At 52.5% G+C, this 16744-nt stretch overlaps 1 long non-coding RNA gene across 2 annotated transcripts in view, besides 4 other annotated features; it reads left to right on the top strand.

Moving 5' to 3' along the window:
• LOC105370082 (uncharacterized) overlaps positions 1-15199 on the top strand; it is a 37563-nt gene extending 22364 nt beyond the window's left edge. For both annotated transcript variants that reach the window (XR_945559.3, XR_945558.3), the window contains exons 3-4: positions 1496-1654; positions 2160-15199. This is a non-coding gene — a long non-coding RNA (uncharacterized LOC105370082). The remainder of the gene's footprint in view (positions 1-1495; positions 1655-2159) is intronic.
• Positions 5088-5697: an enhancer, noted in NCBI's record as "H3K4me1 hESC enhancer chr12:131719246-131719855 (GRCh37/hg19 assembly coordinates)". NCBI's record gives its function as "activates a minimal SCP1, AML or CMV promoter by ChIP-STARR-seq in primed H9 embryonic stem cells {active_cell/tissue: H9 hESC(primed)}" and the evidence as "EXISTENCE:reporter gene assay evidence [ECO:0000049][PMID:30033119]".
• Positions 10012-10208: a silencer, noted in NCBI's record as "fragment chr12:131714735-131714931 (GRCh37/hg19 assembly coordinates)". NCBI's record gives its function as "represses an EF-1alpha promoter that drives an FKBP-Casp9 reporter gene in an ReSE screen in phorbol 12-myristate 13-acetate-treated (for megakaryocytic differentiation) K562 erythroleukemia cells {active_cell/tissue: K562(+PMA)}" and the evidence as "EXISTENCE:reporter gene assay evidence [ECO:0000049][PMID:32094911]".
• Positions 10012-10374: a biological region, named in NCBI's record as "Sharpr-MPRA regulatory region 713".
• Positions 10080-10374: an enhancer, noted in NCBI's record as "tiled region #713; K562 Activating DNase unmatched - State 1:Tss, and HepG2 Activating non-DNase unmatched - State 4:PromP". NCBI's record gives its function as "activates a minimal TATA promoter and a strong SV40 promoter by Sharpr-MPRA in K562 cells, with weaker activation in HepG2 cells {active_cell/tissue: HepG2 | K562}" and the evidence as "EXISTENCE:reporter gene assay evidence [ECO:0000049][PMID:27701403]".
• Positions 15200-16744: the final 1545 nt, after the last annotated feature.

The raw sequence follows: 16744 nt of genomic DNA, 5'->3' as shown, positions 1-16744 counted from the left end.
GGCTTAACTTGGACAGGGAGTGGGGACAACACAAAGCTTCTATAAGTGCTGTTAAGAACATTACTTCCAAAATGTTTAGCAAGTTTCTACAGGCTCTATATGTGTGTTCTATCTGGTGAGTATAGAATCCTAGTGGGCACAGGTACATGGGCAGCGTGCAGCCATTTTCAGAGGTTTCCCCATGGAGCTTGCTATATACTCGAAATATTGGAGCCAGGATGAGAGTGGAGAAAGCTTCCTTCTGTGGCATCAGCCTGGGTAAAGGGTACAGTTGTCACTGTAGAAAATGGATAGAGCCTTCCTAGATCTTTCTCTCCAGTCTCACCAAGGAGCAAAAATCTTAAACAACTGAGGGCATTGGGGATGGGACAACAAATCATGCTGCCTCCAGGCCATAGACAGAGACCCACTGTGACTAGACAAAGGGAAGAGAGAAACACCCTCCCCGGGGACAGCCAAAAATACCCTAGGCCCAGATTGTAAGAGATGCTTTCTGTTGAGGGAGGGCTGGAAACTCCCACACAAGAAACACCAAAACGATAAGATAGAGTTTGAATGCCGCTGGAGGGGGAGCAGAAGCACTAGGTGAGCCTTTCCCTTGAGTCTCAGTGACACGCAGCCTACCTAATACTTATGCTGACCCAGGAAAACAGAGAATGCCCCAGCCCTCATCATGAGGTTAGCAGGCATTGACAAGACAAAACAGAACCCATGGGAGAGGGCTAAGCTGGTATAGAGAGACCCTGTCTGAGGCTCAATCTCATAAATACAGCCTACAGCAGAGCGTGAAGCAAGAGCATTGAGAAAAATTTTCCAGTGACTCAATCCCTACTGTAGACACAGGTAACACTAGCAGAATTTGAAGCTTTGTGGTACACTGAGAGTAACCACAGAACAGAGACATTTAAACGCAGCTCACTGTCTAGAATCATTTACCTCCCATCCCAAATAAAGGCCTAGTTAAAGAAGAGGCATATGCCCAATTCAGGTACAAGTACCGTTACCTCAATTTCTATTGTCTATGCCATGTCTTAACTTTTTTTTTTTTTTTAATGAGACAGAGTCTCACTCTGTCACCTGGACTGGACTGCAATGGCATGATCTCAGCTCACTGCAGCCTCTGCCTCCCGGGCTCAAACAATTCTCCCACCTCAGTCTTCCAAGTAGCTGGGACCACAGGTGCACACCACCATGCCCAGCTAGTTTTTTGTGTTTTTGGTGGTGACACAGTTTTGCTGTGTTGCCCAGGCCGGTCTCGAACTCCTGAGCTCAACCAATAAGCCGGCTTCAGCCTCCCAAAGTGCTGGGATTACAGGCATGAGCCACTGTGCCTGGTCCGCATATCTAACTTCCAACCAAAGATGACAAAACACAAGAAAAGGCAAGGAAAAAAATCCAACGTCAAGAGACAACATGATAAACCCATACTCAGATATCACACACAATGAAACTGTCAGTCAGTGAATGTCAAATAATTTTGATTAATATATTAAAGGCTTCAATGGAAAATTGAAGAATATGAATGAATATAGCAAATTTCAGCAGAGAGATCGAAAGGACCACAGAGGATGAAATGATGAAATGCTCATGCAAGAGAAAAATCTCAACAAAGGAGCTACAGAATGCTTTCCCCAGACTGTCTGTCTGACACCAGGTAAGGAGAGTTGACACACAGGTAAGGAAAGAATAAGTAATCATGGAGATAGGTCAGTAGACCTGTCTCCATGGGAAACAACTAAAACTGAAAGAGGGGGGACAAATTTTTAAATCTTCATTTCTCCAAGTAAGTTCTCAGCACAGCACACTCTACAATGAGAGATGTTCTGTCCTATTTTGGACTGTGCTAGAGAGAACTGAGGATTAGATTTAAGGTAATTAGGGATGGACCAGGAAGGAGAAACACCCCATGGTGAAAAGTGGGGGTGTGTCTTTGATCCAAATGCTGGCTTTGCCACTTGCTAGCTGCAGGCATCGGGCCTTGTTTTCTTTGTCTGAAAAAGGAAAAAGATCATAGCATAAATCTCACTTGGATGTTGTGAGAATTAAAAGACAGATCACAATTGTCCTTAATACAGTTTTTGGCACCTAGTAGATGCCCAAGACATGGTGGCTATTATTTTTCAGCAGGGATTTCTCCTGTCTTTCTCCTTTTGTTTCAGATTTGACAACACTTTGTAAATAACCAGGAGCCACAGTAGAAATATTCTAGGGAATGGGAATCACTGTCTCCTGAGGTAACAAAGAAATATAGAAAGCCAACAAAATGTTTAGAATTATAATCATGATAATAATGATAGCTAGCATTTATTGAGTACTTGCTGTGTTCCAGCCAGGCTTGGTACTAACCTCTGTATATTTAGTAACTCATCCATTGGCTCTATGTGACATGTCCTACAATCAGTCCAAGAGTAGGAAACTGACGGTGACAGAGATGAAAAGACTTTTTTTTTTTTTTTTGAGATGGATTCTTTGTCACCCAGGCTGGGGTACAGTGGCATGATCTTGGCTCACTGCAACCTCTGCTTCCCGGGTTCAAGCAATTCTTCTGCCTCAGCCTCCCCAGTAGCTGGGCTTATAAGCACTTGCCACCATGCCTGGCTAATTTCTGTATTTTTAGTACAGAGGAGATTTCACCATGGTGGCCAGGCTGGTCTCGAACTCCTGACCTCAGGTGATCTGCCTGGCTCAGCCTCCCAAAGTGCTGGGATTATAGGTGTGAGCCTCCAGGCCTGATGGAAAGATTTTATCAAGGCCACACATCCGGTGAAAGGAGAGCCAGGGCTCCACCCCTGCTGCCTGACTCCAGGCTCTGCCCAGCTACCCAGGAAGTGATAACCTCTCCTAGGGAAATGCAAGTTGACTTAAAGAGCCATCCAGGGAGGCTGAGGTGGAAGAGCACAAACAGCACGGTGGAGCTACAGTAGGTGCAGACTCGCAGGACCCACAGTGGGGCTGAAACAGAAGAGAAGAGAGACAACGTGTCCTCCACTATTGACAATGGTAAGGAACGCCTCAAGGTGACATGTCTTTCTATGACAGCCTTCCTTGAAAGAAGAAATTCCTGTCTAGAAAACGTAATAAAAAGAGGATTAAAGGTAAGTTGAGGGAAATGTTGCATTTTGATATTTACCAATAAACAAGCTTTCATGGGGCTGACACAGCAACAAGGCTCAGGATTATACACGCAGGCAGTTTATGAGTGCCTCTTCCCATTCAGAATCCTCAAAAGTGTGTAATTCAAATTCAGTGACTTAACGGATGGTGAATAAATATAGACCTGGAACTCAGCGCCCAGTGGAAGCCTGCTAAGAACTGGAGAGATGCAAATGAAATTGTTTTGCTTTTCATCACCCGTTGTGACTTCTTTTTTTGTTTGTTTGTTTGTTTTAGACAGAGTCTCACTCTGTCACCCAGGCTGGAGTACAGTGGCCTGATCTTGGCTCACTGCAACCTCCACCTCCCGGGCTCAAGCGATTCTCCGGCCTCAGCCTCCTGAGTAGCTGGGATTTACAGGCATGTGCCACTGCGCCCGGCTAATTTTTGTATTTTTAGTAGAGACAGGGTTTCATCATGTTTCCCAGGCTGGTCTTGAACTCCTGACCTCAGGTGATCCATCCACCTCAACCTCCCAAAGTGCTGGGATTACAGGCGTGAGCCACCGTGCCCGGCCTCCTGTTGTGACTTCTGACATATGGTATCCTACACCTGACATGCTTGGCGAGGATTACTTCCTGAGGAAAACAGGTCTTCCATTTGGGTGTGAGCCCGGGGACACTTCAGGACCCTGTGACCCCTCAGCCTCCCAAGAGAGGAACTGAGCTTGGGGGCTGGGGGTGTCAGCAAAAACAAACATGCTGTTCTCGTGGGAAGCTTTGGTGGACCAAGCACAATCATCAGACCCATCTCCAGAACCATCCTTGAGGCTCATGTCTTCTTGCTGCTTTTCCACTGGAATTCAAACTTTTAAAGCACAGGAATAAATTGTGGACAGAGAATTCCTTTTTTATAAGTACTGAGAGCATAACAAGGCACATCTTCCGGAGATGTAACAGTGCGTAGCCGCAGCAGCTCTATGGGCAGAGAGCCCTCAGACCCTGCAGCAAAGGACACTGTGCTCTGCCTGGATTCCTCAGCACCTGGGTGAGCTGCCCGCCCTTGGTCTCCCCCCATAGTGGGCCTTACACCAGTGCCCATCCCTCTCCAGGCACAGACCTTGTGGGAGGGACGCCCGGACATCCCAGCTAGCATCGGTGTCGGGGACAGTCCTGGTGGTCCTCAGTGAGGAGCCCAGAGGGGCAGAAGGTCATGAGAGAGAAAGAGAAGAGCAGCAGGATGGGGTGGCGGATATGGGGTGCTGGGGACCGGGTGAATTCTCAGATCATCCACTGACACAGCCATGCATCACAGGGCCATGGATGCCTCCGTCCATGCTGCCATTTCCACTGGCCTTTCCCACAGGGGAGCCCGGGGGCCCGTGTGACCGTGAGAGGGGGTTGTGTCTGGTGGGTTGAGCTCAGAGCACGCTGGGGAAGCTGCACCCTCGTCTTCTTTCACCTGCAGCCAGGACATTTTCTGAGGCCTCTGAGGCTGCTGGCCAGGCCAGGGAGGTTTCTGCAGAGCAGGGCAGAGAGCGCCTGGCTCCGGTGAGAAAGGGGCTGTCAGGCCAGGCGCAGTGGCTTACACCTGTAATCCCAGCACTTTGGGAAGCCAAGACAGGTGGATCACCTGAGGTTGGGAGTTCCCGACCAGCCTGACCAACATGGAGAAACCCCCATCTCTACTAAAAATACAAAATTAGCCGGGTGTGGTGGTGTATGCCTATAATCCCAGCTACTCTGGAGGCTGAGGGAGAAGAATCGCTTGAACCTGGGAGGCAAAAGTTGCAGTGAGTCGAGATCACGCCATTGCACCCCAGCCTAGGCAACAAGAGTGAAAGTCCATCTCAAAAAAAAAAAAAAAAAAGAAAACACAAAAAGAAAGGAGCTGTCAGGCAGGTGGCCAGGCCAGGGAGGTTTCTGCAGAGCAGGGCAGAGAGCCCCTGGCTCGGGTGAGAAAGGGGCTGTCAGGCAGGTGGCCAGGCCAGGGAGGTTTCTGCAGAGCAGGGCAGAGAGCCCCTGGCTCGGGTGAGAAAGGGGCTGTCAGGCAGGTGGCCAGCAGCCCTGAGCCTGGAGATGGGGATTCAGGAGCCCACCTGCTGCTCGGCTCAGAGCTGAGAGGAGAAACAGCCCAGAGGAACAGCGGCCTCCCCCATCCCAGCTCACGCAGAAATGCATTGGAATGTCAGGAAATTGTGTGTATTTGATGTATTTTACCTGTTGCCTAGAGAGCCCACACAGTGACGCAGGTGCCTGTTTACATTGGCTGATTGCCCGGACTTTGGAAATGCAATTATCCCCCACCACCCCCTCAGCCACTTTCTCCAGCGGACTAGGAGGGGCTGAGTGGTGCAGCCTCTGTGAAATGCTTGGCCCAGGAGAAAGCAATTCCAACGGGGCTGTGACAGCTGAGGGGGAAGGTGTGGCTGCGCAGAGCCCATCAGGGCTTGTTACTGGAAGGAGAGGGAACAAATGCCAGGCAGGCAAAATGACCCAGGACCGGCGACCACAGGCCCCTGTGGCTTCAGCAAATGCAGCTGCTTCCATTTGGCTGCAGACAGAAGCTGGATGCACGTCTGTGACCAGAAATGGACCTGCCCCTTGGTGTCCATGACAACAGCCCCTCAAAAGCAGTTCTGAACTAATCCTACCTGGCCCAGGTGTGGCTGCGGTGAGACGTGCATGGCATGCGGGTGCCCCACGCTGGGACAATCCCTTTGTTGAATCACAGAAGATGAATTAAGACAACATGCTTGGAGGTGCCCTGGGGACACAGAGGAATTAAGGATGAAAATCGCCAAAGCCAGGCTGGAGAAATTAATTTCAGTTGTGAGCACACGGTCCAGGAGGACTTATTAAAGCTGAATGGAAATTAAATCCTGACATTCCAGGAGGGCACTAAAGCACCTAATGAGAAAGAGGGGACACACACAGCCAGGCAGCACTAACATGAGCTGCAGGTAACCAGGTGCAGGGCGGTGTGGCCTGGGTCCTAGACCGGTGGACAGCCATGCCGGACAACTTCTCCTGGCTGACTAAAGTCCCAGCCATGCCCAATCTGTACCACCTGTCCTGACTCACGTCTCACCGCTTAACAAACCACCCAAAAAATGCTGTCACTTCAAACAAAATCAGTAATCCATCATTTCTCACAATTCTGTGGTCAGGATCTTGGGCAGGGCCCAGCTGGGTGGCTCTTCTGCTGTGGCGTTGCCTGGGTTCACTTCCTCAGTTGCATCCTGCTGGTGGCTCGGCTGAGCTGGAAGATTCTGGAAGGATTTTACATGCCTGCCAACATTGTTTTCAGGATGATTAAAAATAGCCTGTCTAATCCATCATCAAGGCCTCAACAGTTACCATGGAGACCACTTTATTACCAAGAGGAGAATTCAGGGGAAGCATCTGTCAAATGAGCGAAGGCTGTCAGGCGTTGACTTCTCCTCCATCTGAGAGATGGCTCTGATCCTCAGGGCTGGGCTGTCTTTTCATGAAGTGGGAGCGGCCACACCTTGGTGATGGATCAGGATCACCCTGCGCCTGAACCTGAGGCTTTAATTAAACTTCTCAAATCTCCACCCTGTGCCACCCTCTGCCCTTCACTCTCCTTGGGCTCAGCTGGAAGGAAGCAAGATTTGAGACACTGAAAAATACAGTGTTTGATTTGCTAATTCCCAAGAAAAGGGAGTTGAGAGAAATTTATGTTCAGGGCTTTAGGAAGCCTGGGTGTTGGCTCCGTCCTAATGCCTGAAACTCACTGCACCCCTGAGGGAGCAGCAGGTTTCCTCCTGCGAATGACTGCGATCTCTCAACTAAACTCCACCCAGGAAACCTGTGTTCACGTGAGGCAGGCGAGAGAATAATGGCTCAGAGACCCAGCAGAAGCCCCTGCTGACCTTGGGGTGTCCTCTAGCACCTGACAGAGGACACACCTGGAGGACCACGTGGCACTGCCGGCCCAGACTTAAAACATGGAATTAATCCCCAATAGGTAAAAAGTGGGAGATTTCCATGAATTCACCAGTTCACACATCATTTATTGCACCCTAGCTGAGCTGGGCACTGCTGTGGGTGCTGGGGATAGACGCTCGGGGAACAGAGACCCTGCCTGCGTGCAGACCCCCTTCGTGGGCCCACGTGCAAGCCGGATCCCTGAACGGATCCAACAGCCTGGGCAGCTGGCACGGGGCTCTCCTTGCTGCAGCATCTGTGGGTGAAGCCGCTGCTCCCTTTCCTGTGGGGACTCTCCGCGCCACAGTCCCCACCACGCCCTATCACTGCCACGCTGGGGCTGATGCCACTTACTGTTTGTCACCACATTGGGTGACGCTTCCTCAGAATGGACCAACAGGGAAAGGGAAGAGCTTTTGTTTTGTTTTGTTTTGTTTTTAATGCTTACCAAAAATAGGAAAACAGAAGACAGACCATGGGGACTGAGTGTTTCCAGAACCCCTGGACGAACATTTCCATACGGTTGTGGAAAATTCGCGGTTGAAAGTCCAAACTCCAAGAGCGGGTTGGCCTGGGCTCTCCCTCAGCCTCATCCTGGCTGGAGGATCAAGCAGCTTCCTGTGTCTCGGACCCTCAGGTTCCTCGTCTGTGAAGTGGGGATGAGAACAGCACCTGCCACTTCTGGCTCTTTTTTAAAACCAATTTTAATAGAGATGGGGCCTCACTATGTTGCCCAGGCTGGTCTCAAACTCCTGGGCTCAAGCAATCCACCCATCTCGGCCTCCCAAAGTGCTGGGATTACAGGGGTGAGCCACCGCATCCGGCCCCTTTTCTGGCTCTTACGAGGGTTGAGTGAGCCTGTACACCTGAAGAATATAGATTGTTAAGTTTCTGCCTCATCATTATCATTTTAACATGCAAATAAAATCCCATCCTGGCCCCCGGTGGTGTTTGATTTTTCAACCCCTGTGAGTGGGCATCAGACTCAGAGCTTTGGGCAGACGAGGCCTTAGCTAGTTGTGAATAACATCATTTTGTCTTCATTTCACGTTCAAGCCACCTTCTGCTTATGGTAAGTGAGAATGATTTTCTGCTTATGGTGGTGAAATATGTTTCCTCTTTAGAGGAATTTAGTGAAGTGAAAGTGAGATGATTTAAAGAAAAACGTGGAATAAGTAATGTGTATGGAACATGGAAGGTGGGAAGTGAAGACTGGAGTTTGAGGAGCCAAGAACGAGTCCAATTTCCTCATTTTATGAGTGAGGAAACTGAGGCCTGGAGAAGGGACAGGACTCACCCAGGGCCACAGAGTGAGGCTAAGGCAGAGGCAAGACCGGAATCCAGGTTGCTGTCCCCAGACTCAAAGTGTGTGGCTGGTCACTGCTGATGGCTCACCCACCAGGGACAGGAGGAGGAGGAGGTGAGGAGGAGGAGGAGGGGAGGAGGAGGAGGAAGAGCAAGAGGAAGAGGAGGAGGGGAGGAAGAGGGGAGGATGAGGAGAAGAGGAGGAAGAGGAGGAGGAGAAGGAGGAAGAGGAAGAGGAGGAAGAAGAGCAACAGGAAGAGGAGGCGGAGGGGAGGAGGAGGAGGGGAGGAGGAGGAGCCGTGTGACATCTGTGGGTAATGAGGCCCCGGCATGGCCTCGTCCTCTGGGGAAAGCCCGTGGGATCCTCTCGGGGCCCATTCACCTCTGCTGGGCCCATGAAGAGGGGTCTGCACGTGGGCTGGGTCTTTGTTTCCCGAGTGGCTGTCACACAACAATGGCAGGTTTTAGTAGCTGCATCAGAGCCTGTGTGCCCTGAAAAGATGTTTGCAGGCCTCACGGGCTCTGGGTCTTGACGGAAGATGTTTGCTGGCCCAGCTCTTCCCTGTGGGGCCCTGGCGTCACCTGTGTCCTTGCTCCCCCATCCTGAACGGTGGCCGCTGGGCAAAGGCCACACCAGAGCCGGCTTTTCCCCATCGCAGATCAGCTGACGGGGCTTCTGTGGGCCTACTCCTGGCTCCCTGTTTCATCCCAGTGGTCTGTCTGTCTGTTCTTGCACTGATACCACTCTGTCGCGATTACTGTCGTTTTAAGATAAGGCTTGAAGTTAGGTATGTGGGTTCTCCAACTCTGTTCTTCCTCACGGTGTTGGCTGTTCGAGGACTTTCGCCTTTCCATAGAACGTCAGACTCAGTTGACATAATCTGCAGAATGCCTTCCTGGGCTTGGCTGGGATTGCAGTGAGTCACCTCTTGGTTTTAATATCCAAAATTCATAGAATGTGCAGATGTCTCCTTGAAAAAATGGCTGATTACATAAGAATGAATCCAACTCCCATTAACAAATCTTAATATACGTGTAAAAAAACAATATCCAGGAACAAATCAAGTGACTTCCGAATATGCCTGTGGTGATCACGTAGACCTGTGTTGAAAAGTGCACCAGATGCCAGCAGGGGCTGAGGGTCGCTCACCCGCACTGACGCGAGCTGCTGGGCAGGGGGCTCCATCCGCGCACAGGTGGCGGTCAGCTGACAACCCTGTTGATCATGTATTTGCCCATCAAGAAGGGACCCTGTCAGTATTGTGCACCCTGACATGATAGCTGGATCTTCATATGTAAGCATTTTCCTGTGCTTTAACTGTTTTAGGGGATTGAGCAGAAATTTTAGGACGAAGTGTTGTAATTTTTTCCATTTGAAATAATGAAAAATGTGTCCTTGGGTGGTGGTTTCATGCACCGATTCTGACTTTTTGCAACAGGATCCTGGTGATGAGAGAAAGCTCCCTGTCCTCTTACTGGTTCTGATGGGTCAGACATGGACTCCGGGAATGGAGGGGCAGGGTTAGTTCCTCCTAAACCACGGGAACTGCAGTGTCAGCGGATCTGACTGATTACCCAAAAGAACACGGGGGTTCGTTTAGCAAGAGGATGGGAAATGGATACTGAAAAGCAAAATAACAGATTTTAGAAAAAAGTTGTCTATCCAAGAGCTAAATATGTGACACATCAATGTGTTCAATGTCCTTACATATTATACATAAGACATCTGTGTACAGATAGGAAGGCAGGACAGGTCTGAGCACCTCCCGCCACCTCTCCCCTCCCGGCTCAGGAGAGCTGCTGATGGCTGCAGCCAGCCCGGCCCCCCGCCCTCACCTGCCCCTCAGTGATAAGAGGCCCCAGGCTTCCTCCCCCTCCAACTGTTTCCTGTCCTCTGGCTGCCTCTTCCCGGCCCATAAACATGCCCGGGGCACATCAATGTTGAAAAGGGCCATTTCTCTGCTGTCCTCATCCCTGAGCTACAGGATACACCTTGTTTCCCACCCACAGAGAATCTTCTAGGGAAATTAGTGCACAGGATAAGCTTTCAAAAGATTATCGGGAGTGTTTTCAGCCCAGTGTTTCCTGTGACCGTGTGGCCCGCCCCTCCAGAGTGATCTGTGTCCTGGGGCTCAGGGCAGACACGGGTCCTCCCTGCCCACAGTCCCCGCCTCCTCCTGATGGAGCAGGCCCATCTGCTGGGAGCACTACCCACGGGGGGGCATACTTAGAGTAACAATCATTCCTGTTTATCTGAAATTCAAATCTGCCTGGAAATTTATTTGCTGGAGGGATCAGCTGTGTTTCCAGGGGCACTTTGCTCCCTTGGTGCCTGTGAGGGGGTTTCTCCTTCCAGAAGAAGTCTCTGTAACCAGCGCTCCCACTTTCCAGGGTCTCCTCACAGCTCAGGGTCTGGGTGGTCCCTGTGGCCTGCAGGGCGGGCTGTTCTCTGTCCCTCCAGCAGGGACAGCGGCTGCAGGTGGGTCTGCAGGGAGGCCGGGTCCCACCAGGTGGAGGCCAGAGCTGGGTCATTCAGTTCTCTCTGCTCTTGTCCTGACACCCTGATGTCAGCTCGGGAAAGAGGGGCCCCTTTGCCTTGGCCACTCCTTGGGGCACAGGCCTCCCTCCCCACCCCACCCCAGCAGTGGAGGCCAGAGCTGCAGGGACACCTGCTTCCCTCACAGGCTGGCCTCACAGCCTAGCCCTGAGAATGTTGATTTGCCTTGTTGGCTGAAAGTGTGTCCAGAATTTGTGGGTTCTTGGTCTCACTGACTTCAAGAATGAAGCCATGGACCCTCACAGTGAGTGTTACAGCTCTTAAGGTGGCGTGTCTGGAGTCTGTCCCTTCTGATGTTCGGATGTGTTCGGAGTTTCTTCCTTCTGGTGGGTTCGTGGTCTCACTGGCTCAGGAGTGAAGCTGCAGACCTTCGCGGTGAGTGTTACAGCTCTTAAGGCAGTGCGTCTGGAGTTGTTCATTCTTCCCAGTGGGCTCGTGGTCTCGCTGGCTCAGGAGTGAAGCTGCAGACCTTCGTGGTGAGTGTTACAGCTCATAAAAGCAGCGTGGACCCACAGAGTGAGCAGCAGCAAGATTTATTGCAAAGAGCGAAAAAACAAAGCTTCCACAGTGTGGAAGGGGACCCGAGAGGGTTGCCACTGCTGGCTCGGGCAGCCTGCTTTTATTCCCTTATCTGGCCCCACCCTGCTTTTATTCTCTTATCTACCATCCTGCTGATTGGTAGAGCCGAGTGGCCTGTTTTAACAGGGCGCTGATTGGTGCATTTACAATCCCTGAGCTAGACATAAAGGTTCTCCACATCCCCACTAGATTAACTAGATACAGAGTGTTGACAGAAAGATTCTCCAAGGCCCCCACCAGAGTAGCTAGATGCAGTGTCGATTGGTGTATTTACAATCCCTGAGCTAGACACAGGGGGCTGATTGGTGTGTTTACAAACCTTGAGCTAGATACAGAGTGCCGATTGGCATATTTACAATCCCTGAGCTAGACATAAAGGTTCTCCACGTCCTCACCAGAGTAGCTAGATACAGAGTGCTGACTGGCATATTTACAATCCCTGAGCTAGACATAAAGGTTCTCCAAGGCCCCACCAGAGCAGCTAGATACAGTGTGGATTGGTGCACTCACAAACCCTGAGCTAGACACAGGGGGCTGATTGGTGTGTTTACAAACCTTGAGCTAGATACAGAGTGCCAATTGGTGTATTTACAATCCCTGAGCTAGACATAAAGGTTCTCCAATGCCCCACCAGACTCCGGAGCCCAGCTGGCTTCACCCAGTGGATCCCGCACCGGGGCTGCAGGTGGAGCTGCCTGCCAGTCCCGCGCCATGCGCTCGCACTCCTCAGCCCTTGGGTGGTCGATGGGACTGGGCGCCGTGGAGCAGGGGGTGGTGCTCGTCGGGGAGGCTCGGGCCGCACAGGAGCCCATGGAGGGGGTGGGAGGCTCAGGCATGGCGGGCTGCAGGTCCCGAGCCCTGCCCCGAGGGGAGGCAGCTAAGGCCCGGCGAGAAATCGAGCGCAGCGCTGGTGGGCTGGCACTGCTGGGGGACCCAGTACACCCTCCGCAGCCACTGGCCCGGGTGCTAAGTCCCTCATTGCCCGGGGCCAGCAGGGCCGGCCGGCTGCTCCGAGTGCGGGGCCCACCAAGTCCACCCTCACCCGGAACTCCAGCTGGCCCGCAAGCGCCACACGCAGCACCGGTTCCCACTCCCGCCTCTCCCCCCACACCTCCCTGCAAGCTGAGGGAGTGGGCTCCGGCCTTGGCCAGCCCAGAAAGGGGCTCCCACAGTGCAGCGGTGGGCTGAAGGACTCCTCAAGTGCTGCCAAAGTGGGAGCCCAGGCAGAGGAGGCGTGGAGAGCGAGCAAGGGCTGTGAGGACTGCCAGCATGCTGTCACCCCTCAAAAGTGCAGAATGGCCTGGTGTATTAGTCTGTTTTCATACTGCTAATAAAGTCATACCTGAGGCTGGGAAGAAAAGGAGGTTTAATTTGACTTTCAGTCCACATGACTGGGGAGGTCTCACAATCATGGCGGAGGGCGAAAGCCACTTCTTCCACAGTGGCGGCAAGAGAGAATCAGGAAGAAACAAAAGCAGAAACCCCTGATAAACCCATCAGATCTCATGAGACTTATTCACTATCATGAGAATAGCACAGGAAAGACTGGCCCCCATGATTCAATTACCTCCACGGAGTCCCTCTCACAACATGTGGGAATTCTGCGAGATACGGTTTAAGTTGAGATTTGGGTGGGGACACAGACAAACCATATCACCTGGGTTTGATCTTGGCACTGAGGGTCTCTGTGAGCTTGAACTCCTCTCCCCAGGAGGGGATGGGCATGGCTGGTGCATTTTACGGCCATGGCAGGCTGATGGAACCAATTTAACAGCTGGCTCATAAAAACCCTCAGATGTGAGAGTCGGCTCCCACAGGCTGCTGTGGGACAGATACAGCTCCCTGATAACCTTCTAGGACCTGCCTGAGCTGGGGGGAGGAGAGGAATCCCGACCCCAGGGGCCTGGACACCAGGGGGACTCCACTCAGATCCTCTGGCCCTGAGCATTCCCAGGACCCCCTCTTGGGCTTCTGTGTTCTTCTCTCTCCAGGGCTGGCTCCTGACACTCCTCTTTGGACAACTGTCCTTAGGCCACTGAGCCCAACCGGCCCCACTGCAGTGAGCTGGAGTGGCCTGGGGGCCAGCCATGCTGAAGCTGCCTCCTCCCAGCTTGTGGGATATGATTTTGGTGTTTACAGTTTTCAGGAATTATATAAACCAGGTATGACACAGGCTGAACGTCAGTCATAGTGAAATTATTCACATCCCAGGAAGCTGGCAGGGGCTGTGCTGCTGCTGCCCCTGGGAGCGAGTTGTTCCACACTCAGCAGCTCGCTGGCTCTCATCCTCCCCACCTAGCGAGGCCTTGACCAGTGACAGGGGTGTGGGAGCCTCCAACAGGGTGGCTGAGGCTGGGTTCACGCTCCAGGGCGCCCCTGCAGGACCACAAGGAAGCCATTGCAGTCAGGAGACCTGGTGCTCACAGCTTTGCTTGCCCTGACCCCATCCCTGTCCCGGCTCCCTCCCGGCCCTCCCTTCATGCACCACCTGTTCCTGAGTCCTCATCCCAGGATCTGCTTCTGGGGACCAGGCCTGATAGGCTCCAAAGCTCTGCTCTTAACCAGCACCGCAGCTGGAGGAAAAGCAGGAGGCATTTGGCTGTTGATGATCATGACATTTTCATTATACTGTGTGGTTTGGGTTTATTTTACCCAAGGAGCACAGTCCACAGAAAATAGAACATTTCAGGAATACCAACCAAGCTAAGTAACATGTTCACATGATATTTATTAAAACTGTGATGAAACCGGCTCCACAAACCATTGATAGAAGATGGGCTGTGTAAAACCGGTACTGGGAAAACGGGTTGTCTGTGTGGAGGAAAGTAAGACTGAATCGCTAACCAATACTGCAAACAAAGATGGAGTCTAGATGGATTAAAAACCTGAATATGAAAAGAGAGAAAATACGAAAACATATAGAGTCTTTGGGAACTTGTGCCTGGGAACAATTTTTTAAACACATTTGGAAAGCATAAACCATAGAAAAATGATTAGTTTTGTCACATCAAAACAAAGGATGCCTGCTTAATGAAGAAGACCATGAACAAAATCATTAGACGACTGGCAAAATGGGAAAAGAGATTTGCAAAGTTTAAAACTGGAACGTGATCAGTGTGTCAAATATACAATGTAACTTTGTAAATCAACAAGGAAACAAGGAGAAATCCCAAAGAATGGACAGAGCGATGTGAGCAGGCAACACCCAGGAGAGGAAATCCCAACAGGCCAAGATGCCACACCCAGGCTGTCTCCTGTCACTCCTGGCGGTGATTAGGAAGCTGGCGGCTCCCAGCCTGGGCAGGGACGCAGGGATGTCCTGCAGGTGGGGGTGGACGGAGGGCCCTGGACCCAGCGGTCCCACCTCAAGTAGACACCCAGGGAGGTGCTGACCCAGGCCCACAGATGACCTCTGAGGCCCACAGATGACCTCTGAGCCTGTCTGTGGGGGCCGGGAGGGGCACAGGACCTGGGTGGGTGTCCCTGGGAGAACAGAGAGGAAAATGGGGTGGGCGCACACGGAGAACCATGCAGCAATGAGACAGCATGAGCTGGTGCACACGGAGCGATATGAGAGCATCTTTAAAACATGATTATTTGTAAAAGTTTACAAATACACAGAATGAAATTAATCACATGAGACCATTGACGTTCATGCCCGGAAACAGCAACGGGCACTCTCCAAGAACACGTCCCAATAAAAAGATCGTCATTACACACGGCTCAGTGATTTCCTAACGGCAGGGAGGGGAATGGGAGGAGGAATGGGAAGGAACGAAAATACATCATAAAGCCTGAAGCCTGAGGGAATCCACGCGCAGAGAGATGAGATGTGATGTGTCACACACTGTGCAGTGGGGTTCATTCACTCCTGACTCTTGAGGGCCAGTCATGAAGTGGGGGAAGAGATGGACGCAGTGAGGTACGGGCTGTGAGACCCGTGGAGACCTCAAAGGCTGGGTGTCAGGATGTGTGTGTCCTCCCTCCCGTTACAGGACAGTGTGACCACACCCCCTGCCTGGCTCTGCCCCTCCAGCCTGGCCCCGCCCACGCCTGACCCAGCCCCCTCCAATGTGGCCCCGCCCCTATGGCCTGACCACACCCCGACCACACGTCTCCACCTTGGCCCCACCCCTGTGGTTTGACCTTGCCCCTCCATCCTGGCTTCCCCCAGTGCTTGACAGCACTCCATGGTTAGACCATGCCCTTCACCCTGGCCCCACCCTTCTGTCTGGCTCCTCCCCTCACCCTGGCCCCACCCCTATCTCCACACCCATGGCTTGGCCACCCCTGTCCATCCTATCCCCACCCCCTCTTTCTAGCCATTTCCTTCTCTGATCCCTCACCTCTACCCTGGCCCTGCCTTTACGGTGTAACCACACCTCTCCACCCTGACCAGCCCCTGTGGCTTGACCCCACCCCTCCATCCTGGCCCCACCCCCCATGACTTGACCACACCTTGACCACACCTCTCGTTCCCGCAGATCGAGCCCGCCCCTCCCCTACAGCTTGACCACACCCTGACCACACCCCCACCGTGGCCCCGCCCCTGTGGTTTGACCCCGCCCCTCCAACCTGGCCATGCCTCCTGTTTCACACCTGGCCCCACTGCTTCAGCACAGCACACCTGCAGAGGGCAGGAATGATCCCAAGGTGGGTGTAATGAGCTTTAATCTGTTGGAGTCAAGCCCAGCGCTTTGGAAACCCCTGGTTCTGCTCAGGCCTGAACCTGAGCAAGGCCCCTTCTCTAATCCAAACCCTGACTCCATCGGGTGGTGGGCGGCCTGCACTGGCTCTGGGCCCGGGACAGCTGTGCTCTGTCTATCCCCCTTCCCCAGCTGTCCTGTGTCTGCGCACCTGTGTCAGCACCTGAGGAAGGCAGCGCACTTGGTCTGTGGGGAGGAGCCTGTAGGGATGGGGTCCCCCATAGCTCCCCTGCCGCCCACATCCAGCCTGCCCAGTCTCCCCACCGGGAGCTCCCCTGAGTACCAAGACAGTGACACTCTGTGCACGAGGACCCCGCTGTGCAAACTGAGAATAATGAAGGCATTGAAGCCAGGCCAGCGGTGCCAGCAACTTCGTACCGCATTTCTCATGTTATTTCAATGTTGCCTCAGTCAGGAAGATTTTCTAGAGCCAGGATAACGGGGCGGCCATCGGTAGACGCGGCCTTGAGAGGAGACTTCTGGTCCGCGTATTTGAGGTCCCTGGACCGGAGGCCACTTCCCTTCTCCAGGCACCAGGGCTGGCGGTGGCCGAG

Source organism: Homo sapiens, chromosome 12, assembly GCF_000001405.40.
Source record: "Homo sapiens chromosome 12, GRCh38.p14 Primary Assembly".
Lineage (NCBI taxonomy): Eukaryota > Metazoa > Chordata > Mammalia > Primates > Hominidae > Homo > Homo sapiens.
This window is presented reverse-complemented; position numbering and strand designations above follow the sequence as displayed.